The sequence below is a fragment of the Homo sapiens genome, chromosome 2 (genome assembly GCF_000001405.40).
Source record: "Homo sapiens chromosome 2, GRCh38.p14 Primary Assembly".
In the NCBI taxonomy this organism is placed as follows: Eukaryota; Metazoa; Chordata; class Mammalia; order Primates; family Hominidae; genus Homo; species Homo sapiens.
In genome coordinates, this window is record NC_000002.12 from 134,300,084 (window position 1) to 134,326,386 (window position 26,303).

The 26,303-nt window shown below is 40.4% G+C and overlaps 1 protein-coding gene and 1 pseudogene across 23 annotated transcripts in view; one reads left to right on the plus strand and one right to left on the minus strand.

The window, feature by feature from the left end:
* Positions 1–26,303, plus strand: part of MGAT5 (alpha-1,6-mannosylglycoprotein 6-beta-N-acetylglucosaminyltransferase) — a 334,687-nt gene that overhangs the window by 180,149 nt on the left and 128,235 nt on the right. For all 23 annotated transcript variants that reach the window (XM_006712534.4, XM_047444397.1, XM_047444400.1 and 20 more), the window contains 2 exons: positions 17,446–17,522; positions 18,567–18,656. In XM_006712534.4, coding sequence (XP_006712597.1) covers positions 17,446–17,522; positions 18,567–18,656 — 167 coding nt within the window. The remainder of the gene's footprint in view (positions 1–17,445; positions 17,523–18,566; positions 18,657–26,303) is intronic.
* Positions 19,471–20,097, minus strand: EDDM3CP (epididymal protein 3C, pseudogene; annotated as a pseudogene).

The following is a 26,303-nucleotide window of genomic DNA, read 5'->3' on the forward strand; positions in this document are numbered from 1 at the left end:
TTCCTTACACTGTTGGTTGTTCAGTATAACTTTTGCAAGAAGCAACCATTCTCTGACCCTTGGGTTTATTAGCACTGCATGATGCTGGAAAATAATAAATTCCTGATTACCTTTCAGATTTCCCTCATTTAGACCATCTTCTCTTTTCAGTACTTACACTGGCACTTACTGTGTAAGACAGAGCCAGGTCCTGCAGATAGGCTGAAAAATCAAGATGGCATGTTGTAAATCTGAAGTCGGGTGATTTCTGTCGAAGCCTACAGACAGGATTAGGAATGAAATCACAGCCTGCCTTCTGCTGAATGTCTTGAGGGTGAATTATTTCCTAGTACTAGTGACTCTTTCTGCACATGTGCGGTTAACCTTAATGGAGTAAAGGCTGTTTTTTAAACCTCTCTTCAGCTTTGGGCCCAACACTATACACAATTAACTAGTTCACTGCAAATAGGAGACACCTAAATGCACTCAGTGACAGAGAAGAACACTTTACCAACAGTTTGTACTTAAGTCCAAGATTACAATTTCCAAGATGAAGATTAAACTTTAGTTTTATGCACTTTTGTAACCAAACTAAAGAGATGGACCCTTTAGCACTGCCAGCCCACAATGAAATGTAATATTGGAAGTCACTGAAGGTGTTATTTGAGGTGCTTTAGGTTGCATGTGAGCTTGTTGTAGAGTAAGTTCCAGTGAAGGTCGTTGGCAAAGGGTTAGTTGTTAAAGATTAGCAAAGGAAAATTGTCCTTCATCTGTGTGCTTAAGTCACAGAGAAAGCACACATTTAAGCAACTTAGCTTAATTTTCATACCCTGCACAGCCCAGTTCTTAAGTATACAACCTGATGAGTTTTAATAAATGTATATATCTATAAAATCACCACAGGCAAGATAAGGAACATATTCATCACCCCAGAATGTTCCCCCATGCCTCTTTCCATTCAGTCTGCATCCCCCATAGGCACTCTCTACTCTGATTTCAATCACCATAGGTTAATTTTGCCTGTTCTTGAGCATCATCAAAATGAAATCTTACAGTATGAACATTTTTGCAGAGTCCGGCCTCTTTTTCTCAGCATAGCGTTTTCAAGATTGATCCATGGTGCTGCATATGTCAATAGTTTATTCTTTTTAAAAAATCGCAGAGCAGTACTTTGTTGTATGAACATACCATAATTGGTTTATCTGTTTTCCTGATAATGAGCATGTGAGTCATTTCCAGTTGTGAGCTGTTATGAATAATGCTGCTAGAGACACATGAGCCTGTCTTTTTTTCTAAGTAGTAGATTCTATTGCTCTGAAGTTACTCATAACATTCTTTTATTATTCTTTTAACATCTATAGGAATTATAGTGATATCCCTCTTTCATTCTTAATATTACTCATTTATGTTTTCTTTTTCTTGATCCCTCTTGCCAGAGGTTTATAAATCTTATTCATCTTTTTAAAGAACCTACTTTTTTTTGGTTAATTTTTCTCTGTTTAGGATTAAATCAGAGAGGCAGAACTGCCAAGAGAGGCGTGTGTCTATTAAGGGATTTGTCAAAGGGGTTTGACCTTACACAGCTCTGGAAGCTGGTTTAACATTTTCTGTAACGCTGTTGCTTTTATGTCTGATGATGGAGTTGGCATCCACAGGGCAGGCAGCTAGGAAGGGAAGATAAACGGTAACTGGAGGAGAATAAGGACGTGCTGGAACACATGAGTATGAGCTGGAGCTCATAATTACAAAGCAACACTCATGTCAGTTCGCTTTTGGTTTTGGCTTGATTTTGCCTCCAGCCTTGGAGTATGGATATTCCTGCACAAGCTGGGACCCTTTGTCTCAAAATGAAAGAGACCTGGGGGATGCAAGTCTTCACTATTCCACTTCCTAGATACCAAAAAAATTCTTAAATAGTAAGACCAAAGAACTGTATAGGGTAGGGGTTGACAAACTTCTTATGTAAAGCCGGACTTTTTATGTCAGCCAAGTATTAAATATTTTTAGCTTTGCAAACCGTATGGTCTGTGATCTGTTGCAGTGATTTAACTCTGTCATTGTACTACAAGAGCAACACTGGACAATATGTAAATGATTGGCTTGGGCATATTCCAATAAGACTTTATTTACAAAAACAGGCAGTGGGCCAGATTTGGCTTAAGGGCTTTAGTTTGCCATCCCTTGTTACAGAGATTGTAATATATTTTCTTATCACGGTATAGTTAGAGTTAATATTATACATTTCATGTTTAATGCATATTGATTCACCATCCTTTGTACTATTGTTGTTCAATGTCTTACATCTATAAAGGCCTTAAATCTCACTATGCCCTAATATGATTTTTATATTTAGCAGTCAATTGTCTGATAAAGAAATGAAGAGAAGGAAAACACTATAGTGTTTTATATTTAGCCCCATATTAATATTTCTGATTCTCTTAATCCCTTCTGTAGTTCCAAGTTACCATCTAATGTCCTTTCCCTTTCAACCTAGAGCTTCTTTTATTATTTCTTGCCATACAGGTCTGCTGGGGGTGAAATCTTTATTCATTTATCTTAAAAAGGCTTTTTTTGGTAGGGGCTGGCATTTTTCAAAGACATAAATATAGAATTCTGAGCTGACAGTAAGTTTTCTCTCAGCATTTAAGAAATGCTGTGTGTGTGTGTGTGTGTGTGTGTGTGTGTGTGTGTGTGTGTGTGTGTGTGTGTTTTCCAGCCTCCTTCTTCTGACGAGATGTCAGGTGACATTGCCATCTTTGTTCCCTTTTATGTAATGTGTCTTGTTTTTCTCTGTCTGCTTTCAACATTTTCTCTTTCTCATTTGCTTTTAGCAGTTTGATTATAATAAATGTGATTGTCTTTATCTTGTGGTTCACTGAATTGCTGGATCTGAAGTTAATGTTCCTCAACATATTTGGGAAGTTGTCAGCCATTATTTCTTCGAATATTTTTTGTCTCTTTTCTCTTTTCTACCTCTGGGCATCCGTTTACACAAAGGTTCGCCTACATGATGTTCTCCACAGGTCATGGAGACTCTATGTGTTTTATTTGTCTTAGTCTTGAATGTCTCTGTTTTTAGGTTAAGTAATTTCCTTTTTTGTTTTTCAAATTTACTGATCTTTTATTCACTGATGACCGTTTTTCCTTTGTCTTTAATCTTATTTATAATAACCGCTTTAAATTCTTTGTTAGTTCTCCAACAGTTGCGTCATCTTGTTTTTGTTGACTGTTTTTCTTGCCTTGTTCACGTTTTCCTGTTTCTCCACATGTTTAATAATTCTTTATTATGTATTGGACATGACAAGGATATGCTATAGAGTGTCTGGGTTCGGTAAACTTCCTCTGAAGAGTACTGATTTTTTTTCTAGTAGGCAGTTAAATTACTGACTTACTGCCTTGAACTTAAGAAGACTTGCTTTTATGATTTGTTAGGGTGTGTCTGTTTCCATTTTTTTCCCTAGTCTTGGACCATCTGAAGTCCTGGGCCTGATGTGAGGCCCTTCTGGGGTTTCATGGAAAGCCTGAAATGTTGACCCTTTGACTTTTTGGGGTTTAAACTGTGGCTGCCCTGCAGTGAGCAGCAGCTGAAGTCTTGTGAATACTTTGAACTTTTATTGGAGCCTCCCTCACAAATGCTTAGTTTTAGGGTCGCTCAAGAAGTTTAAGGTAGTTTATATACAGACTTTGGGGTTCTCCTCTTTGGGCTCCCTCTTTTTGGGAATATGCTACCTTAATTTTTCACTACTATGCAAAACTTCATTCTATGAAACCTCAAGCCAGTGAGACTGTAGCCTTTTGTTTGCTACCTTCCAGACTTGATAGTCCCCTCTGGGGCACAGCCATATAAATGTGAGTCTTATTCAGTGTAGTTTCCAGAAAGAATTTAAGGATCAAATCCCTTCTAGTTTCTGCTCACTTTCCCTCACTCTTTAGTGTCATATTGTAAGTGTTATCTGTGGGAAGATTGTTCCAATACAAGCTTCTCTGCTATTGCCAATGCATAGTTTCTCTGCTTTGTTTTTAAAGAATCCTAGGTTAACTGTTATGTGGATCTTACACAGGTAGTGTAGTTTAGCAGCGTGCTCTGGGCTGGGAAGCTGTCTGAATTATCTGTTACCACAGTGCTGCCTTCCCCCTGGTTTTGGTATGCATGCTAGCTCTTTTCTGTTAGGTACAATATACAATAACCACCATTTCTAGGTTGGCAAGGACCGTATGTATTTAACAGTTGCTCTCCTATCCGGATGCCATGGCTGGAGGGTAAGCAAGGGACTGCACTTTATTCTGGATACTGGGATGGTGAATGGGTTTTCAGGTAGTAATCCCACCACCTGAGGATCAGTGCCTTCTAAGAGCTAACTCAAAAACCAAATATTCATCTGGGAACAGACTACTTGCTGAAACGAACAAATTCCCAGGCAGTTGAAAACCTTTGTGTTTCCTACTGGGAATAACCTGCATTCACAAATTCATTAGCCTTTTATGTGGAGTTGATGAATAGCATTCCAGGATTATAAGAATACTTGTAACATCCCAGAATATGCACATTAGTCTCTTAACTTTACAAGCAGAGTATTGGTATCCAAATTTACATGGTCTTAACACAAAGCATGTTCTTTTCTACATGAAGGAATACCTGCTAAGGGCCGGGAGAAGTTCTAAGGAATTAAGTTGTAAGATAGCCTGATTTTTTGTTTTTTAACATGTCTTGCTATGTTGCCCAGGCTGGTCTCAACCTACTGGGCACAAGCAGTCTTCCTGCCTCAGCCTTCTCAGTAGGTGGGACTGTAGGCATGCACTACTGCACCTGGCACAATCTGGTTTTTAAGAGGCATCCTAGCCAAGGACATTACCTAGCAGGCTTGGCATGTATATTTTATGCCAATGGCTTGTAGGTTTCATATCACTCTGGATCAGTCACAGTAGACTTACAATTTAAATAGCTTTTAGCCTTTCTTCAAACCGTACCCAAGAATTTGTTGTGCTTGTGGGTGTTTGAAATATTCTGGCTTTCAGCTTCTTTTATACATTCTCTCTGTCCTACTTTCTCTAGGACCAAAACCTTATTATCAAGGTGTCATCTCAATTCTGCATTATCTTGCAATTTATTTTTCTGTTTAAAAAAGTAAGGTAAGAGACCACAACCAAGCAACCAAAACAAAATGAAAACCTCAGTTTATGCGAGACGGTGAAAACAAAAATTTTTCTTGATCTCCTGTTAAGAGAATAGTCGAAGCACTTCCGCCTTGCCTCTAGATGTCTGGCTGGCCAGATAGAATCCCTGTTTCTAACCAACAGCTATAAGACGCTTGTGACAAGTGATTCAGAAAGTGGGCATTGTGTGATATGAAGAGCACACACCTATTTTGGGCAATTTATACTATCTTAAAACAGCCCAAGGATATAGCTAGCCTTCTCTCAGTTATTGATTCCATATTTCTTTTCTTCTTCAGTTGCAAAAAGGAAATACAAATATACACACATAAACTACATGTATGGCTTTGCTTTTCATTTTTAACAAAATCCAAACTCAAGACACCTTTGACAGTTTGATAAGAACAGGCAGAAATCTATGAACTGTGCTTAACATGGAACCCTGTTTTAGAAGAAAAATCAAACCTCTCTTTGAGAGGTTGAAGTGAGATATGGGTGCTCTGTGTTGCAAGGGCATGTCACTGTTACAGTAAGTTATCTGTGTAACACCCTTTCCTTCTTCTAGTAAACTGCATGTGAGAAGAGGGGACTTGGCAAAAGCTTGGCACTATTTTGTTTATTGGAAAAGGAGAATCGTTATAAATATCACCTTAGGCCCCCAACTCGAGAATATAATACAGTTTTGCAAGTATCTTGAATTTTTAATGTCTCCCACCTATTTCTCAGTATATTTTCTTAAATCAAAATTGACAGCTGAGGTTGTCTCAGTATGTTAGCATTATATCTTATTCTTTTAAATGTATGTATAGAAACTTTTTTTTCTGGGAATATATCTGTATAACTTTTTGTTTGTTTTGATGTATAAAACTAGCATTCTCCTAGTTTATTTCCTATTAGGCCCATTTGTTGTAACTAAGTACATATATGATACCCACGTGGAATATTTCATATCCTTTACATCATTACTTAAAATACTAAGGAACATTTTGTTGCAGAAGAAATGATAGCAAAAATTAAATATAAACTTACAGAAAATGGTATTTACATAGAAATGAATACATGCAGAGTTTTGCATTAAAAAGCACTCTAATTATCCAAACTATATTACAAACTCAGTTTTGTCTTCCAGTCTCAAAGCTGCTAGAATATATATAGCATACACTGTTTTGCTATTATATTCATTGAAAAAGATCTAAAGCATTTTTGTCGTTGACTATACCTCATACCCCACCAAGCATTGTGACAAAATTAATTAGGGACGGACAAGACAGGCACAGAGAATATACAATAGGACGAGTATATTGTACAAATAGATTAAATGATCTAATGAGAGCTAGTGTGTGATGTTTCAGTGTGGTGCAGGCAATCTCTCCTTCTCATGGCTTTATCTTTTTCAAAATCCCATATTTTACTTCGGAAGTTTGTCCTGAGGGTGAATGAGGCTATAAATGAGTGCCAGGTACAGTACCTGGAGCCAGGGTGACTCAGATGTTAGAAGGCTTTGCTGACTCTGTTTTTTGAGTGAAGAAACTCCTGAAGGTTAAGTAACCTGCTCAGCTTATGTGATTAATAAAAGGCAGAGAGATAATCCCAGCTGAGATCTCTTACAAGACAAAGCCCCTGCCTTTTCCAGGGCATAGTCATGACATTTTCTACCTTTTTCATTGCTGAGGTTCAGTGTGGTCAAGGACTTTAAAAGACCGGGACATGCGGGTGCTACTCTCTGCTGATACATTTCAGTGTCAGTTCCAGGAGCAGGCCTCTTCCTAATGAGGAGGCATCTTGCATGGTGGCCAGATAGTATCTTACGAGAGGGTTGATCTACTGTTTGGAGATTTAGAGAACACAGATTTTTATAGCTTTGTAACTTTAGAGGCCGATGGGATGACGGCATTTTGGAATATGTTTAATTAATTTTCATTAATTTAATGAAAATGGATGTTAAAGAGACTATTTAAGAAAAGCATTAGAAGCTGCTGTTAATCAAAGAAGGGGGCTTGAGCATTCTTAATTTGTTCTGAAGACCTTGTGTCAGAAAAACACCCCTGACTTCCTTACTAATGAAAGACAGTTTTCAACTCCGGGGCCATTTACAATGTTAGATATAAACTCTATTCAACTGTAAAGATTTTATACAGTAATATCTTTTAAATTACACATGGTCACATTTTTATCCACAAAATGTGACTTTCATTCCCCTTTTCCTCTGGATGTCACCTTTTTTTCAAAATGTTGTTTCTCCACTCAAAGAACATTAGTTACTTCCCCTGGCCATTGTACTGAAACTCCGCAAGTGTTTTCAGTTGCCTTCCGGTTTCCTGCTGTGATAACAGTGATAAATTATGTTCTGAGGCTGGAATTCATGATTCTGTGGCAGGCCGTGTCAGCATACCTTTCCAACCGTATTTCTTACTACCCTACCCTGAGTCCCCTGCTTTAACCAAATTGTCCCGCTCTGCTCTCCTGTGCCCTCTCAGACAGAGATGATTGATTGGTTATGCCTACCCACTGTGGGTAGATTTGCTGTCCTGGTAAAACACTCTAATTGTTGAAACATAACATAAAATCCATTTTCCATCTCTGGCCGTTCCTTTTCCTCAGTGTTATTTCACCTTTTATTCTATTGATTCCCAGCTGTGGCTGCCTTTTAGAATCACTTGAGGTTGGGAGAGCATTAAAAAAGGGGGTAGCAGAACCACTGCCTGGGGCCACTCAAATAAGAATGCCTGGAGGGTGAGGCACATTCTTAAAAGGTCCCCAAGAAATGTTTAAATGTGCAGATAGGGCTAGGAATGGCTAACTTGTGACCTTAGCCAAGTTACTTAATCTGCCTGGGCCTCAGTGTCTTCTGTAGTAGAATGAAGGATAATAGTACTTATTATTGTGAGGCTCAATCGAGTAATCGGTGTACATAAGATACAGTGGTGTTACTAGTAGATGCTCAGTCTGTTGGCTACCATCATTATTACGCTGTTCTTCAGTGTACTCATCTTTCCTTTTCTCTCCTGTCTACTTCTACTTTAGAGCTCAACTCAAATCCCATTTTTCCAGTGGTTACTTAAGGTTTAAACTAAGTTGCTGCAACAAAGAGACCCAAAAATTCAGGGTTGAAATGAGACAGAGGATGGTTTCTCTTGTCACACGATAATCCAGTAGTGAGCAGTCCAGACCAATAGAATGGCTCTTCTCTGCACTGACATTCAGGGCTCCACATTCTTCCCATTTTGCTGGCTCATCGCATGTCCCATCTACTAGCCCATGGAAAGTGTATATGGCATTGGGCTGTTAATTGCCTTTTCTGGTGAGCAAGTTTTGGGTTCTAAGCATATTTAAGGCTCCCTCAAGGTGAATAATGTTTTGTGTTTCTCTTTGCTTCCCAGGAAGGTACTGAAATCATGACAAATGCTCTAATTTAGGTGCAGTATTTGTTGAATGAGTCAATGTCAGAACTTTTCTGGTTTTTGTAACAGCTTTATTGAGATAATTTACATACCACACATTTCACATATTTAAAGTGTTTGATTTGAGGCTTTTAGGGCCGAGTATGGTGGCTTATGCCTGTAATCCCAGCACTTTGGAAGGCTGAGATGGGAGGATGGCTTGAGCTCAAGAGTTTGAGACCAGCCTGGGCAACATAGCAAGACCTCATCTCTACAAAAAATGAAAATAATTAGTTCGATGTGGCTTTCAGTATATTCAGTTGTGCAACCACCACAATAGTCAGTGTTAGAATATTTTCATCACCTCAAAAAGAAACACCATATCACCTCTCCTCCCTTTCCTCAACCCTAAACAACCACGAATTCACTCTCTCTCTAGATTTGCCTATAGGTTCTGAACATTTCATGTAAATGGAATCTCATATGTGGCCTGTGTGACTGGTTGCTTTCATCTAGCATAATGTTTTCAAGGTTCATCTGTGAAGCATGGATTAGCACCTCATTCCTTTTAATGGCTGAATAATATTCCATTTTATGGATATACCATATTTGGTCTGTTAATTGGATGATGGGTGTTTGTATTGTTTCCAAATTTTGGCTGTTATGAATAAGGCTATTATGAATGTTTACATACAAATTTTTGTGTAGTTATGTTTTTATTCTTTCATAGTGTAAACCAAGGAGTAGAATTGTTGACTCAGATGATAAGTCTGTTTAACTTTTTAAGGACTGCTAGACTGTTTTCCAAAGCAGCTACACTATTTTATATTTCTACTAGTTGAGGGTTCTACTTTCTTTACATCCTTGGCAACACTTGTTATTGTCTGAATTTTTATTATAACTATTTTAGTTGATGTGAAGTCGTACCTCATTGTGCTCTTGATTTCCATTTCCCTGATGACTAATGATGATAAGCTCTGCCTACTTTTGTCAGTAGCAATTATTTAACCCCAGCTGTGTTCTTCCTATCATGTGTGTGCTCCTAGGTGTGTGAATAACCTTTTCCCTGGCTGACCATTTCTAGTAGCAGCACCGTGGGGCTTATCAGAATGGAGGGTTGGTGTATATATGATGTTGTGGCTGTGTGTATGTATAGCATTCTTATATAACTGTTTTTCATACTGAGAATCTCAGTCCTAGGTCCCCTTTTTAATACTAATTTACCAAAAAAAGGAAAAATCTTAATGCTGGCTTAACAGCTTAATTCGACAATTCTGCCATAAAATAGATTAAATAAATGACAGAGGGTATGACAAAAGGAGGTATGAAGAATCTGGAGTTATTTGGCTGAATTGTGATTTGAAATTTTATGACATTATCTTGGCAGTGTGTTTTCATAGTCATCACAACTTTATTCTTTTTATACATTAGTTCTATTCTTGAAAAGCTATACATAGAGAACCCATATATATACACTGAATTTGATTTTCTTGTTGAGTTCCATTATGTCCATAGTATTTGTACACAGGCAGTACTGTAGCTTCTGGTTTTTATACAGCAAGTCCATGAGGCCCTTGGAGGTGCTTCTTCAAGAGGGAATAAGAATTTGTTAATTGTGTTCACTCTTGAAATTTCCCATGCAGAACATGAAGATGATGATGTGCATTTCAACAGTGTTGTGGAAATAATCTTGACTCAGAAGGCAAATGCCTCGTTGAACATGCAGAGTGCTTTGCATATGGAAGGTGCTAGTGGATTTTGTTTAATCCATAAATGAGGAAGGCACTTCATCTCACTAGGCCTTACTGTTATGAATCAGGAAAACTAGAGGGTTGAATGGTGTGGTTTCAGAAGTCCCTTGCAGCTCTAAAATTATTTTATGCAATGATGATTCTATTTTCAACTTAGATTAAAAAACAAAACAAAAATGATATATAAACAAGTATTTTCAAAGATCCCAGTATACACCTCTGGGGGTCCATGAGTGAGTCTTGCCTGTTTCCCATGTCTTGACTTCTCAATTGCTTTGTTGGGGAGGGAACTTCCTATTGCTGTGGGGCCCTGGTTCTGGAATTCATGTACATGACTTAGTTACAGAAATCAAATTACTTTTTTTATGGTGCAAAAGTAAAGCATTCCTAAATGAATATTTGCCAAGCTGAGTGACTGGTGAGGTCATTTTCAATGGGAGACTATATTCCATCATGGCTGGCTTCAGTCTGATTTATTGCCATCCACTCCTGAAGCCAAGCCAGCTGATGGAGGTGCTGGCAAGAGCTGTGTCTCCAAGCCCATTGTGGAGATTGAGTCGGTTCCCAGCCATGGCTGAGCAGCCAGGCCAGTGGCACGCTCATTTGGCTGCACTTTGCAGGGGCCATCTGATAAGCATGGCCACATGTTCATATCAGGTGTGCCAAGAGAAATGCTACCTTGTCTGACACAAAATAGAATTGCTGGAGAACTTTATCTTTTGAGAGAAAATATCTTTAGAGTGTCATTGCCCTGAATGGAGCCCTTGCTCGTGAAGTTGATAATCTTAGGGTCGGCAAAACAACTGGGTAAGGAGATTGAATCAGTTTCCTGTAACTTCCTGGGGTCAACAGATACTCATGTTCTTTGAGGTTTCTGAGAGTTTTTATAAACCTACTTTTTCTTCTATTTTTTTCTTTCCTTTTTTTAACCTTTAAAATGGCAATGGCGATGGATTTAGATGCCCTTAATCTATCAGATGCCTGTCCAGAACTAGATAAAAAGTTAATGGACCTGTGTTCTACAGGTTGTTAAAAACAAGTGTCATCTCAAACAACACCTGTCATCTTTGCTATATAGAATTAGTGTATGGAAAAGTGAGCCTTAATAAAGGCTCACTTCCTAATATGGTCAGCCATTGCTCTGAAAGAACTGTCTTCTGTGTGAGCTCGCATGCAAACTCCTGTCTCTCTCTCTCTCTTGCATCCACTCTCCTCCATTCCACTTCCTCACTTTATCATCCTCGCCTAGGAACAGGTAGTTGAGATTCTTACACATGGTACCACCTTTAAGCATTGGCAGAAGTGAGATTAGCCCCTGACTTCCAGCCTCTTTGTTTTTGAGATTCTTTTTGTAACCATATTTCCAGATCTCCTTTGTTCAGCAGTGAGGAGTGGTTATTAAAAACTTTGTTTGTAGTAAGTGAATGTTTTATGATGCCGCGTAGTTGATAGTTGGTGATACTTAAAAAGAAATGGACGATAGCATCTTTATATACGTATAAATATTGATCCTAGGCAATTAGAAGATGCAAGTAGCCTTGTGTGACACCCAAGGCACCTAGCATCTGATTTATACAAGCAGTGGGACAGTTAACAAATGATTCATTAAGATTTTCTCCAGGCCGGGTACAGTGGCTTATGCCTGTAATCCCAGCACTTTGGGAGGCTGTGGCAGATGGATCGATTGAGGCCAGGAGTTCGAGACCAGCCTGGCCAACATGGCGAAACCACATTTCTACTAAAAATGCAAAAACTAACCAGTCACAATGGCACACACCTGTAGTTCCAGCTACTTGGGAGGCTGATGCAGGAGAATTGCTTGAACCTGGGAGGCTGAGGTTGTGCCACTGCACTCCAACCTAGGTGACAGAGCCAGACTTTGTCTCAAAACAAAAAACAAAACAACAAAAAAAAATCTCTCATACAACCATAAACCTCTCTTTTTTGAATACCAGTAAGATGTGACTGTCAGTAATTCACATGGGGGCTAGGCCATGTCCCTTCTCCCAGCATCAGGAATGACTTGTCTCCCACTACTGCAGCTTCCTGCTGTTTTCCTCAGCTGTGTGGCATGTGCAGTCCAGAACTCGGACTCCTTGGGTCAGTGACTCCAAGTAAGGCTCTCCCACTGCTTTTTATCTGTGGCACTTTCTTTCCTCTTCAGTTCTCTGGAACTTGGGCACTCCATTTCTTCATTGCATTTGTTCCTTCCGTTATTAAACAAGATGGGGTCTCCAGTGTGCTGGGCATATATCCTGGGAGTACCGACGGGTAGAGGAGGCTTCGTTGCCGGGTACTTCATTCACTGTTGTGTGTGGTTTCCCTTCCTCCCACGTGTGCCAGCCCCCAGAAGGCAGGGCTGAGTCTTACAAGGATGCAGTGTTGGCATTTCAGCACGTGGCAGGCAGCAGATGCCCAGTGAAGGTGGGCTAAATTAGGAGGTCAGTGCTGAGGATTTTAAAGGCTTTCCTTTTCAGACTGTCAGATGAGGTAACCATCTTCCTTTTTTCTAAAACGGGATAATGTATGTGATGTATCAAGGCAAGTTATCCCCCATCCATTTCTTTTCCTGTCCTGTATTACGCTATTTCTATTCTCACCGTTCCTTTGAGACCGCCGTACCAACTTCTCCTGCCCTGACTCTCCCCTTTTTCCTTCCTTGCTCTGAGGCCACAGACAGCAAGAAATAAACACACACACACACACACACACACACACACACACACACACACACACACACACACATATCTGTCTGGTTTCATATTTCTTTGTCCCTTTCGCTTCTTAATATGAATGTGAAATGCCATTGTTTCCCTCTGTACACGTCTCTCTCGATACGTGTGTGTCTGTTGGGACTGTCAGGGAGAATCTGTCTCCACGCCTCACAGGAACACCCCCGCTGCGTGTATTTGTGACATCTCGTGCTGCTTCTGCTCCTGCAGTGTGTATGTTCCTCCTGAATCTTAAGCATTTTTGATGGCAGGAAAAGTGTTTGTTCACTTAGATTAAACCCATATTCGAACACCCACTACATCGTATGGGCACAAGTGACTGATAAAGCAACAGAATTTTTACACCTGTGTAATCTGCCTTCTGTGTAGATACCTGGTTGCCAGTGCCATAGGATCATACAGAGGTGAAGTTTTGGGGGAAAGATGTTGCAACCTGGGCTGGTGTAAGGGTAACGGATTAAACCGAATCCTAAACAGAGCTGAGCTTCATTGCTTACACTTAAAATTTTTATTTTCCCTTGCCCTTTCAACATTTAAAAAAAATGGCATGGGGAAAGCTTGGGATAAACAGTAGGCAGAGCTTTCAAGTTACATATCTTGGCAGGATCTTTCTTCTTTTTTCTTTTTATGCCCTCACTTTTTATTTTATTTCAACTTGTATGACATGGACTCTTTATAATAAAAGTTTGTTACATGAGTAAACTATGTGATGCTGAGGCTTGAGGTCCCGTGGATACCGTCACCCAGGCTATAAGCATAGTACCCACCTCCCTCTTTTGAAGAGAGCTTGTGTATAGTAAGCTCAGTTTCCTCTGGAAAGCAGTAACTTTAACCTTTTTTGGCTCAAAGTTTTGTTTCTTAACCAAACTTAAATGAGAGACATTTCCACAGGTAGGAAGGTCCTCCATGGACAAAAACTAATAAAAATGTTTATAGAATTTTGGTCATTTGATAGAAACAAAATGAGGAGCCATCCTCTGAAAAGGAGCTGAAAGTCCTTATGAGCTATGGTGTGATGGAAAGTCTTGGTCAGGTTATTCCCGGTCAGGTTTGGGAGCAGTTCTGCCCCATGCTGGGAAGGCTGGGACTCCCAGTTTCTCCCAGTCACAGATTCCCTCTACCTGAGAACCTTGAGCACTCTTAAGCCAATGCCTCTGGAAGCCCCTTATCTATTCATACCCATCACTGTGTAACTAAATAAAGGAGAGAAAATTCGTGTATAAGAACATGGAGTTGCAGAGGAGACTGTCGAATTAGCTGACAAACCACCAGTTTGAGGAAGAGGAAAGGCCCTGGCCTGGTGGGAGTCTCTGCTCAGTCTAGTTCTCCCTGAGCCCAGGAGTCAGGCCCGTTGGGCAGAGGGGAACATGCCTATGTTTATTCAGTCAGATGGCACTTAGTGTCTGGAGATCCAGCAGGAAGACATAACCTTCCTATAGGTTCCTCATGTGCTAGGAGGGGAGATGGACTGCCATAAAGGAATAACGTGATCACTCTCTGCAGTAGGAGAGACATGAGCAGGAGGCCAGGGAAGCCCAGAGGAGGACAGGATTCCTAACAAAATCCTGACTAGGCTTGGGAAGGAAGAACTAAGGACTGTTGTTTTAGCTGAAGAAAGAGGAAGGGGCTTTAACTGGGCAGAGGAAGAGTGGTGGCCTGGAAGGACTGAGGAGAAGGACGTTCCAGGGAGAGGAAGGCCCGCAGGGAGCCTTGAAAGAAGTCAGTCCAGCAGGCTTTGGCAGAAACGAGGGGCCTTGCTTTGGGAATCTCCTAGCATAGCAACAGGGGGGTCTGTGCCTGATTCTGTAAATAACATTTTATTGGAACACAGCCCATCCATTCGTTCAGCTGTTATCTGTGGCTGCTTTTTCATGACAACAGCAGAGTTGAGTAGCTGAGAAAGGGACCTTGTGGCTCACAGAGCCTTAAATATTTACTCTCTGTTTCTTTACAAAAAAAGTTTGCTGACCCTTAACTTTATTCTTTGAAATTCTTAATGAATGGACCCACACTGTCAGCCCTGGGGCGTTGCTTGCAGGCCTTCATGCACCTGTTAGTTTATTTTCTCATTCAGTGATCCTGCTTCACCCTGCCCTACCACACCACCATGTCAGTAGCCTCTAGATGGCAGTGAATATTTCAGGAGTAGAATAGTATCTGTGGTGTAAAGGGGGTGGCATTTCCCCACCAAGTACCCCCTAAAATGTCTGATTACCAACCCCAGGCTCTCATAGACTGTGCCTAATTTTGTGGAACCTCTGCTGCTGCTCATTTGCTTGGCCAAAACCCCCCATCATGCCAAGTAAGCATTGACAAGCAAAATCAGAATGAAAAATAGTGATAGGAATAATGGTCATTGCAAAATACTATTCTTTGGTGAGGCATTCCATTTGTTTAGGGCTTCTGGAGCTGGCAGCTAGAAGGAGAGCCCCACCTCAAGTCTGCATCTATTTCAAAAACACAGAATGCTTTTCCAGAAGTGTCTGTGCATTTGAAATGCTGCTTTCCCAGATATAGCAAGTAAAAGTTGTGTGGAATTACATAGCAAATGCCAACTTTTAAGCACCTGCTGTGGTCCGTGGTATCTGCCATTGGGCCTGCCAGGCCAGCCTCTTGATGGTTAGTAAGAGCTGGATGAAATAGAGGCGGAGTCATTCCCATTTTACAGATCATGCAACAGGGGCTCTGACAAGCCAAGTAACCTCCATTTTAACTAGTAAGAGACCCATGAGAAATAGGGTATTTATTTTTATGCTCTAGTTATTCTTAGCAGGTAGAGGGCTTGTTGAAATACTTGAATCAAGAGGTCAAGAATTTTGGTGACACACTATCAAAATAACTGGTTTTCAAGGGGCAGGTAAAATCCTCCTTAGCACTAACTTCTGTCTCAGTCCCAGCAGCCACTGAGTTATCATTTCAATACCCCTGTGAAATAATACTGCAGTTTGGAATCTAATTTTTGATTAATGCTTTCTTTAGAAAACTATCGGCAGTAGGTAATGATATTTTCCAGACATTTCTGGAAAATATAGTAGCTCTGAAAAGAGAAGCATATAGGTTTAGGGTTGTCTTGTTTTCCGACTAAAATGGTCATTCCTACATAACAGTGTGATCATAATCTTCCCCTCCATAACATTATTCTGCCGTGTTCTTAGGGTAAAGATCAGGGTACTTATTGTGGCATTTGAAGCCTTTCCTGTTGTTGCATCTCCTGTCTGTCCTGAGTACCTCACACTTCTTTCTGTTTGAGACCACCTCAGTTCCTTGAACGGCATCGTTAGATTGTCCCTTTGGCTGGCTCACTCCTACTTTGTCTTCACATCTTGGCTAAGATGTCACTGGATGCAGGAGGCCTTCTTGGAGCTTTGGAGAGTGGGTTGGGTATCTTGCCTTGCCCAGCCCTGCCATAATGCCTGTTATACTGTTGTTACATTGTTCATTGTTCATTTATTTGTATGTTCTCCACCATTAGACCGTAAGCTTCATTTAATTTTTTTTAAATCGACATAATTACACATATTTATAGGGCACTTAGTGATATGATGTTGTGATACATAAAATGTACGGTGATCAGATTAGGGTAATTAGCATATTCATAATCTCAAACATTTCTCATTTCTTTATAGCTAGACAGGAGGAATAAGCTCTGGTGTTCTATGGCACTGTAGGATGACTCTAGTTCACAATAATACATGGTTTTAAATAGCTAGGAGGAGCATATTGAATGTTTCTATCAGAAAGAAATGACCCTTAGCTTCTCAAAGGCATTTGTTTTCGTTTTGACCCTACAGTTACAAGGAATAGGAACCCATTCAAGCTAGCTAATATAAAAGGAGTTTATTGTGAGGAAGTATTTAAAACAATAAGGAGAACTTTATGGAAATCTAAGGACTGGGTCTGTAAGAAGCTGTATCCCATGGATGCAGGGCAGGAGTTCCTTAGGATGGTGTAGATACGTCTCATGGCTCTCTGTGCACCAGCTCTATTCACACCTCTCTGGCCTGTTGGCTTTCTCAGTTCATGCAGTTGTCTTCACGAGGTCTGTTCATGGCCCCAGCTTGCCCACATAGCCTAGAATGTCCCTACCAGTGCTGGAGGACCCTCCTAATCACATGGCTTTATTTCCTGCTCCCTGCTTGTTTGGTTTCTTAGTTTCCCTATTGCTGATTTCTAAGTAAGCGCTCTGGTTGGCTTGGCTCACTTTTTTAAGCCGGGCCACACATGTTGTCATAGGTCTCTGGCCAGCCTGTAGTTGGGCTGTCCTCAGGTCAGTCATCACTCTGGACCAGTTAGATATATTGGAGCTGGAGGGGCTCCATGTATCAGAGCATGGCTGCCAACAGAGACCTTTCTTTTTTGGTTTCTCTCCCTACCTCTTGGCTTACAAGAATGTTAGGCTTGTGTTTTATAGATCTCATTGTATCCTTTGTTGTTTTTCATTCTTCACAGATATCATTAACGGAGCTCAAGAAAAATGTGTATTGCCTCCTATGGACGGCTACCCTCACTGTGAGGGAAAGATCAAGGTAAGGCAGAGGCAAGCATCATCCCCAATCTGCACAAACACCCCTTCTTTTTCCCTTCTCTTCCTTTTCCTCCTCAGTGACACAAATGGGTGAGTGAGCCCTTGACATGGATCATTTATGGGGTGCCTCCATCCTGCCGGCTTTGTCTGTGGCTATGACAACCCTGCTATGCCTATGTCAGCCATGTGGGGTTGGTCAACAGTGGCTCTCACTGGTCAGCATGAGAGAGCCTGGGCCATTTCAGGCACCTGCTGAGTCTTTGAAGCTGACTTCCCCTCTCTGTTTCCCAGCCTCCAGCAAGTGATCCTTGAAGGACCAATGACAAGGAACTGCTGTTATTTAGTGTCCAACTCCCCACCATCTCAGTCCCCAGGCTCCTGCTCTGAAGCCTCCAGACTGTGGTTTAAGTGTCACATTTGTATTTGTGGTTGAGTACTGAGAGACACTTGGCTGCTATTTTACTTGGCTGCTTTTTTTTCCAGAAATCCTATTTGTATGGCCTGCCCCTGGGGAGACCACTCCCTGCTCAGTAGTTTTCAGAGAACAGTGTCCATTCAGGGATGTAGTTAGGACAGTGGGACCAACCCCAGAAGCATTTGGGTGGTATCCATGTGGGCCGTCCGTCAACGCTCGTCCGTGCCCTCCTTCACGCACTGTATTTCAGGTACCATGCTGTGGGCTGTTGGAACTGGAGTTCCTGGAGGGGGTGTAGATATCAGAGTCCCATTAGGCACTTGATCTTGATAAAAATCCCTAAGCCACCGCCTCTCCTGGGCTTTATTGCCTGCTGTACCACGACCTTACTCTCCACTCTAAGCGCTTCTGCTGAGGCCTAACGTAAGCCAGTGTCTTCCTGTTAATCGTCCAAGTAGGTGAGCTGCACACCTGGCTATCTTGACCTCGGCTCAGTGACCCTGTCACTCAGTTCTTTAGGCCACAGCTTGAGCCATTCACTCCATCTTCACCATTCTATCCTCGCCTTCCCTGTCAGCAGATGTGGAGGGCCTGTGAATGGGCTGCTCAGAGATGTTCTTCTTGTTTCAGTGGATGAAAGACATGTGGCGTTCAGATCCCTGCTACGCAGACTATGGAGTGGATGGATCCACCTGCTCTTTTTTTATTTACCTCAGTGAGGTGAGTAGCTTTCTGTGGCTCCTGGGGGTAGATGTGACTGGTTGGACTGTTCTGTAGCTGAGTCTGAAATTTGAAAAGCTTGAAAACGTGTGGTATTTTTATGTGGAGGACCTATGGTTCCGTCCTTCATTACTCTCCCTACCTCTCCAGGAATGATGTTTTTCTTTTCTCCTTGAGGGAAAAATAAGCGGAGTTAGTTAGCTATTTCCTTTTTTTCTAGCTTTTCTTTAAATTGTAGTAAAATAGACGTGAGATTTGCCATCTTAACCATTTTCAAATGTGTATAGTTCAGTGGCATTAAGTATATTCACATCATTGTGCAACCATCACCACTGTCCCTCTCTAGAATTCCTTGTATCTTGCAAAACTGAACCTCTAGACTCATTAAACACTAACTCCCCCTTAAGACCCTGCTTTCAGTTATTTTGGAAATATACCCAGAAGTGAAATTGATGGATCATATGGTAACTGTATTGTTAATTTTGGGGGGAATTGCCATACCATTTTGTAAAGCAGCTGCCCCATTTTATACCAACAGTGTGCAAGCATTTTAATGTCTTCATATTCTCACCTACACTTGTTATTTTCTGGTTTTGTTTTTTGAATAATACAAATTATTTAGAGAAAGGAGGATCATTCAGCTTGGGTTAGGTATAAAGAGAGTCAATATCAGGAAATCTCCTGGGTTTGTCAAGAAGAGATGCCACATGATCAGAATCTTGAGAAAAAAAAATGTTATAAGTAAGTTAGGTAAATGAAAGACAAAAGTGTATTCAAGGCAGAGAAACAACATAGGGAAAGTTATGGTATCAGTTGCACAGTGGGAGTGATGGGACAATGGACATAGGCAGGGGCTACCACTTGGGAAGTATGGAATACTCTACCAAAACCTGGGAATGTGGGTAGACCTTCTGGTTGCTGATAGGCTTTATCTTCAGGTCCTCTATGCCATCAACATACTCATCCATGCTGTGGTGGAATTCAATGTAGCTGAAGCTCCTGCTCTCTGTGTAGCTATTTTTGGAATTCTCCCAGTGACACTTGAGTACATTGGGTGCATTCTGGGTCCGTACATATGCATGTCTATAGCAGTCATCCCAGTTGTCATTAGCATGTGTATGCTCAATTTGGTAACCTGAGATTTAGATGAACATGTGAGAGCTCTTATCTTTTAGAGCACTTCTTTTTCTCTCATGAGGACATCACATCTGTACTCTTGAACGTGGGTAGTGATGTTTTATGAGTTCCCACCAGTAGATGTTCTTCCTGTGTACAAGCAGCCTGCATAGGATCAAAGCAGGGCCAAGAGCAGGCTCCAGATCTTTAGAGAGGTTGCCATCTCAGTCACCAGAGCCACCCTATTCAGATTCAGTGTTTGAGTCACTGCTTGTAGAGGGATCAGTGTGTGGATCTGAATAGCAGAGTCTATGTCCTCCTCCTCCTTTTAAAGACCAGGAAGCATTTACTGGTTTATTATAACAGAAACAACTCAGAAACAGCCAGAGGGAAGAGATGCGTAAGGCTAGGTTTGGGAGGGAAGTAACTAAAAGATAGTTACATTTACGTTCCTTTTTTCCCTAAATCTGAGCATCATTTTCATTTGTACCCTTGAATTTAAATAGCAGCTTTTGTATTTTTTTTTTTAACGGTTGCAGAGAACTTTATGGGCCACTTGAATTTTTTACAGACTTTAAGGATATCCATTTCACCTAGAACCTCTTGGGAATCAAAACCGGCTGGCTTCCCCTTTATGGACTGGGGGAGGAAGGGGTTGGAGCAGAGTAGGCAGCTTTGGGGTCTTGTGAAACAGGTTCTGGCCAATTCTGAGGTCATGCCTCCACAGACCCTCTGCTGCCCTTTCTTTTTATTCTGTCCCCCGTTTTTGTTTGCTGTTGCTGTTGTTATTTGACCAATAATAACAGCTGGTGATGCCATGCAGGAAGGAGAACACCTTCATTTTTGAGGCTAAATAAAATATTCTTGCCATAGTTTTCCTTTTGTGGGATTCAGATGCCTCTCTTTTCTTTGCCATAGGGTGATGGGGATAGAGGCCAAACAGTATTGCTAATAGGGCATGTGGCCCTGATTCTGTGGGGTTTGCCCCTCTCTCAGACTATTACTTCTTTTGCCTGGGTGCATTCAAGTTACACTTTTTGGGGGTTCCAACCGGGCTCCATGATTTTTTGGGGGAAGGGGGACAAGGTTGTTCCATTGCCATCATGAAAACCCCAGAGCTAACGATAGTTAAAATACCTCTTGGAAATGAACAGCTCTGAGAGTTGGGTGTGTGAGGCTCCTCATTAGCAGGCTGCTGGCAAATTGACTTGATAGCATTTATATGAGTTTCTGGCTTCCGGCTTGGGTGGCTTGTGGCCTGCCTTCTCATTTCCTTCTCCAGAGGAGTAAAGCCTGGGGCCATGCGTGAACCTTCACTCTAGTTGAAAAGTCAATTAGAAGTACCTCTCCTGCCCTGAGGAAAAGGTTCCTCATTTAGTTTAATTTTCAAAAGTTTTATTCCCCTTTCTACTTGAAAGAATTTAGCCAGAGTCTGACCAAGCTCCATGATTGACAAGCTGGGCTAATTTCATGCCTTCCTAAGCCTTTGCATGTTGGGGTATGCTGCTGAGGCAGAGGATTTTACATTCCCATACTTACATCTCCTTGGAAGGCATGGAGAGTGATCCAAATGGAAGAGACTGCAGTTATTTGTGACTTCTTTCCCTCCCTTTGTCACACTTCACCCCTGCTCCCAGTGAAGTATATGGCTAAGCTGAGAGAAAAGTGAGGTTCTGGGGAAGGGAAGTAGAGAGGAATACGGGATGAAGAGACATGATGGATCACATATCACTTGCTATCTGAGGCTGAGTATTTCATTTTGGAACGAGCAACTACGTTTTCTCTTCCTGAGGTGTGAAATACGCTTCATTAGCTCATACCACTCTCTTCTTATGCAGATATCGGGTGGTCTTTTTGTTGCTTGGCTGAATTCTGTTCAGTGAGCAGTTATTGAATTCATTGTCAACAATTAATGAAAACACATTTTCTTGACACCACGTTATGTGTTAATCATTGTAAAAGCAACAGGAAGAAAGGATGCAGGTAACTGAACCAGGAGAATGGGTGGAGATAACTAGGGACCCCTTCTTACAAGTTTTAATCTGAATATAACCCTGAACCTCAGGGCTTTTCTATGTTATCATAGCATTGTAATAAGTACCCTGTGAGAGTTGAAGGAGAATGTCACCAATATGGTCCCTTCAATAGGAATAATATCTTAGAGTCACACCTGACATCAGCTTCTGTTTCTGCTGCTTTCTCAGCTCTATGAGGTCACTTAACCTTTTGTGCCTAGGATTCTTCCTTTATGAAATAATAGGAATGTACTTAGAGTACAACCCGGCAGATAAAAGACACTCAATAAGCATAACTGACACTTCCGTGGTTTTAAATGTTGTGATCTTTTTGGAATAGTTGTGGGGTGTCACTTTGCCTTGGACATTATATGTGGGAACATTGTTCCATTTTAGAATTAGAATCAATTTCTGGTTCTCATTTACCAGTGTAATGCAATTTTAGATCCTTTGACTTCTGGTAATATAGAAATTCAGCTGTTTCCCTTAATGCCTATTTTTAAATTGACAACGTTTGTATGTATTCATGGTATACAACTTGGTGTTTTGATATGGGTCTGCATTGTGGAATGGCTAAATCAAGCTAATTAACATGTGCATTACTTCACATACATATTTATTTGTGGTGAGAGTATTTTCCCTTGATTGGTCATTTCTGGACATGATACTTGGGTTTGCACTGGAATTAGCTGCACGTATGGACCCAGTGCACCCTACCATTGTTAATGTGAGATTAGTAGAGATGTTTTGTAAAACCGATTAATTCCTTTTTAGTATTTTTAAAATCCTGGACAATATCTGTGGCTTTGTAGGAGCTGTTGGTTCACTTGTGTGGTTTTATTCTTTCCTGCTGTCTTGAAACTTTCCTTATTCTGTTATTTAAGTTAACTCTGAAACCTGCGTTTTTATTTCCTGTATCATCTAGGTTTCTCTTGCAACTGGGGAGATGATTGAGAGAGACATCTTCATTTGAGTTGTTAATGTGATCAACACATGCACCAGTGACTTTTATTCTATTCCTAATCCTTATTGAAAGAGCCAGTTCTTGTTTTGATCTATGTTTAACATCAGAGCTTTAACAGATGCCAAAAGGACATGAAGTAAAATGTCTCTTGTATAGTCAGTCACTAGTGGAATTGGAGCATTTAGATTCAGACCTGTCTTAAGAGATGGTACTCTTCCTTCATTTTTCTTTCTTAGGGTTGTCTCAGTTCACCAGCTTCCGCTGAGTTATGGGATTAGAAACTTCTGTTAGTACTTTCACCCTCACCAACTTGTAGTCTATGGATCTTTTTTGGTTAAATCCCAGGAAGAAAAGCCATCAATATTTTTCCTTAAAATACCCCCACAGCTGTTTGTTATATGTCTGACGCTGTACTAGAGATGGTAGAGATAAAAGCTGAGTGGTTGCCTTTCTTTAGAGGTGGGACTTTGGGGCAGACAAGAGAAGAATGAAAGACTATTGATGCTCCACTGTACCAGACACCTCAAATACAGAATAACTCCATTTTATTTAAGTGACTTCAGCATCTGAGGATTTTAATATCCACAGGGGTCTTGAAACCAGTCCCCAACAGATACTGTGGGTCAGCTATACACAATCTTATTTAAACCTCTTGCCAACTCTAAAGAGTAATGGAGAGCCAAGTCATAGATAGCTCAGAGAGGTCAAGTCGCTTATCCCCAAAGTCCTGCACTTTTTGTTCCTGCTGTCTCCTTTATGATGAAGGAAAACGGATCTTAGGTAGCTAACTTGCAGCCATTGACTTTGCATTCAGTTGTATGGTTAAATCCACTTGTGATGGGAAAATGGCTCTAATTTAGCTAACTTGAATGAATAGATCTTCATTGCTAGTTGTCTAATACTCCATAATTTCGATACCCTACGCCTCCAAAAAAACACAAACTCTCTTGCTGCCATAACTCATGAAAACCAGGTGTCAGCCATTCCAAGTGGTAGGAATGAGCAAATGATTCATTAGGCAGCCTTGTATTTCCAGAACATCAGGCAGTTCATTTTCTGTATCTGTTTTCGTGAGCCATGTAACTACTCCCATTACAGAGACAGGGCCCTATAAAGTAATTACTCTGAATGTCATTGTTTCAGGTATATTAACTTAACCATCTGCAGAGCCTTTTACTGCTATCAGCTTTTACAAAATTTAGAATGAATTTCTTCATCTCTGTTGATATTATGTTGATAGATGATACTGATGTATTTGACACTGGCACTTTTTTTTCTTTTTAAACAGTTGTTACAGAACCTAGGAAGCATCATACCTTTCCAGAGTTCCTAATTTGTTTATGCTTTTCTTGTATGCACTTCTGTTGCCATTGCAAGTAGAGTTGCTCTGAAATAATCAAATTGCCCAGTGATTGATTGCTAGATCTTAGGATGTGTGCAAGCTATTGCTTCAAATGCCAATTTGGACTAGATGCATGAGAGTGTGTCTATGACTCTTTCACAAAGGAGCAAAAGAAGCAGTTTCATGCCTTACTTGTCAATCTAGTTCTTATATTTCATAAACAACAGACGTAAAGGTCTTTGCTTCTTTCTGTTCTCCCTTGGCAGTATGTAAAACTAATATTGGCTGAGCATGTAATTAACCTTGAGTTTAAATTCAGCATACTTAATCCCTTGATTAATGCTAAGATTAATGCCCAACAGGAAAGGTTGAAAGCTTAAATGTTTGTGAATGCGAGCATGAAATGAAATCCTAATAACCAGTACAATGATTTGGATTTATGAGCTGTGTTGGCTGCTAAAGATAACTTGGAAATGGTGTTGCACAGACTAATTTGTCAAAGTGGGCAGTGATAAAGAATAGACTGCTTAGGTTACAGGACAAAACCTGAATGTAAAAACAACTAACGTTTTGGGGTGGGTCAGGGAGTACTTTAAAAATATCACCGGATTGTTGCCCGAGAATACCAACACACACCCTTCAAATGTTCAGCCATTTGAAATGGGAAATTCCTTTTCCTCAAGATAATATTTCTGGGCAGTAAAGGAGGTGGCAGAGATTTATGATCATGTTCTTTTCACCTTCTCTGTTCAGCCTTTATTGGTATCTTTTTCATCTGTATATATTTGTTGCTCTTACTACCTGAGTTCTAAGACATCCTTAGTAAAAGAATTTAAAAAAAAAAAAATCCTGAGTTTACAGAACAGTATTTGTTAGTCAGCCTAACTGATCTGTTAGTTTCTCCCTTTAGCCCCTCACCCACTAAAGTTCTTAGCAACACTTCCTGTTTATGAATGTTATATACCACAACATTTATATTTAGACTTCTTGTTCTGGCCTCCACTCTACAAAAATCAGAAGGGCAAAGGACAAGACTTGCCAAAACCCAAATCAACACTTCTTTGACTGCTTCTTGGAACACATGTGGCAGGATGGGGCTTCAATGCTGTCATCTCCAATTTGTTTTTTATACACATTTAAATATCGTCTCATGTAATTTCTATTGTATGACCCTAAAAATACTTTTAAAATTATGTTTTAAACTTTTTAATATGCAAAATTTCCAGCATGTACTACAAAAGAGTTTAACAAACTCCTGTGTGCCCGTGATCCATATTCAACAATTGTCAATCCATAGCCGGTCTCATTTCATTTATAACCTCCTCTGCTTCATTATTTTAGGACAAATCTCAAGCATCATATCATCTGTTTCAATGTGTATCTCTAAAAGAGACTTTTAAAACATACTGTACAACTATTCTCATTATAACTGCTAATACTATTTCACACCTGAAAATTAACATAATTCCTTCACATCAGATTAGTATTCACATTTTCAGGCCATTGTATAAATTAAAGTTTATTTATTTGAACTGGGTTTCCAGTAAGGACCCTAAATTGCAATTGTTGATGTCTCCTAAATCTCTCTTCATTTTAGGTTCTCTTCCGTCTCTTACTTTTCCTCCTTCTAATTTTTTGTTAGAGAAACTGCTTCATTGCCTTAGAGTTTGTCTTACTCTGAATTTTGGTTACAGCCCATGTTGTTGCATAACCTGGCTCTTTGCCCCCTTGTATTTCCAGTAAAGTGATAGCTAGCTCTGAGGTTTGATCAGAATAGTGCCTAATATTGTTTGTGCAAGTTATTTCATGGATAATGGTATTATATACTTGAGTTGGGAGGCACATAATGCCTGATTTCTCTTTCTCTCTCTCTCTCTTTTTTTTTTTTTTTTGATGTTAGCAATCATTGATCAGTGCCCAGGTTCATTAATTCATTAAAGGTACCTTCTTAATATATCAGGAATACTTCTGTGCAGAGATGTGACTCTTCATCAGGTATGTGATCACCCTAAGAGGAAATTCATAGAAGAAACCATTTATTTCCCAGTTCATTTCCTAGAATTTCCAGCTTTTCTTCTTTTTGCTTGCTTGCTTTTTGTTTTTTATTATCGTTATGTAGTAATGGATTAAAACATTTGAACAATCCATTGCAGTTATTTTCTTACTGATTGTCAAGTTGCCCCGCTTTGGCCAGTGAGGACCTATTCATA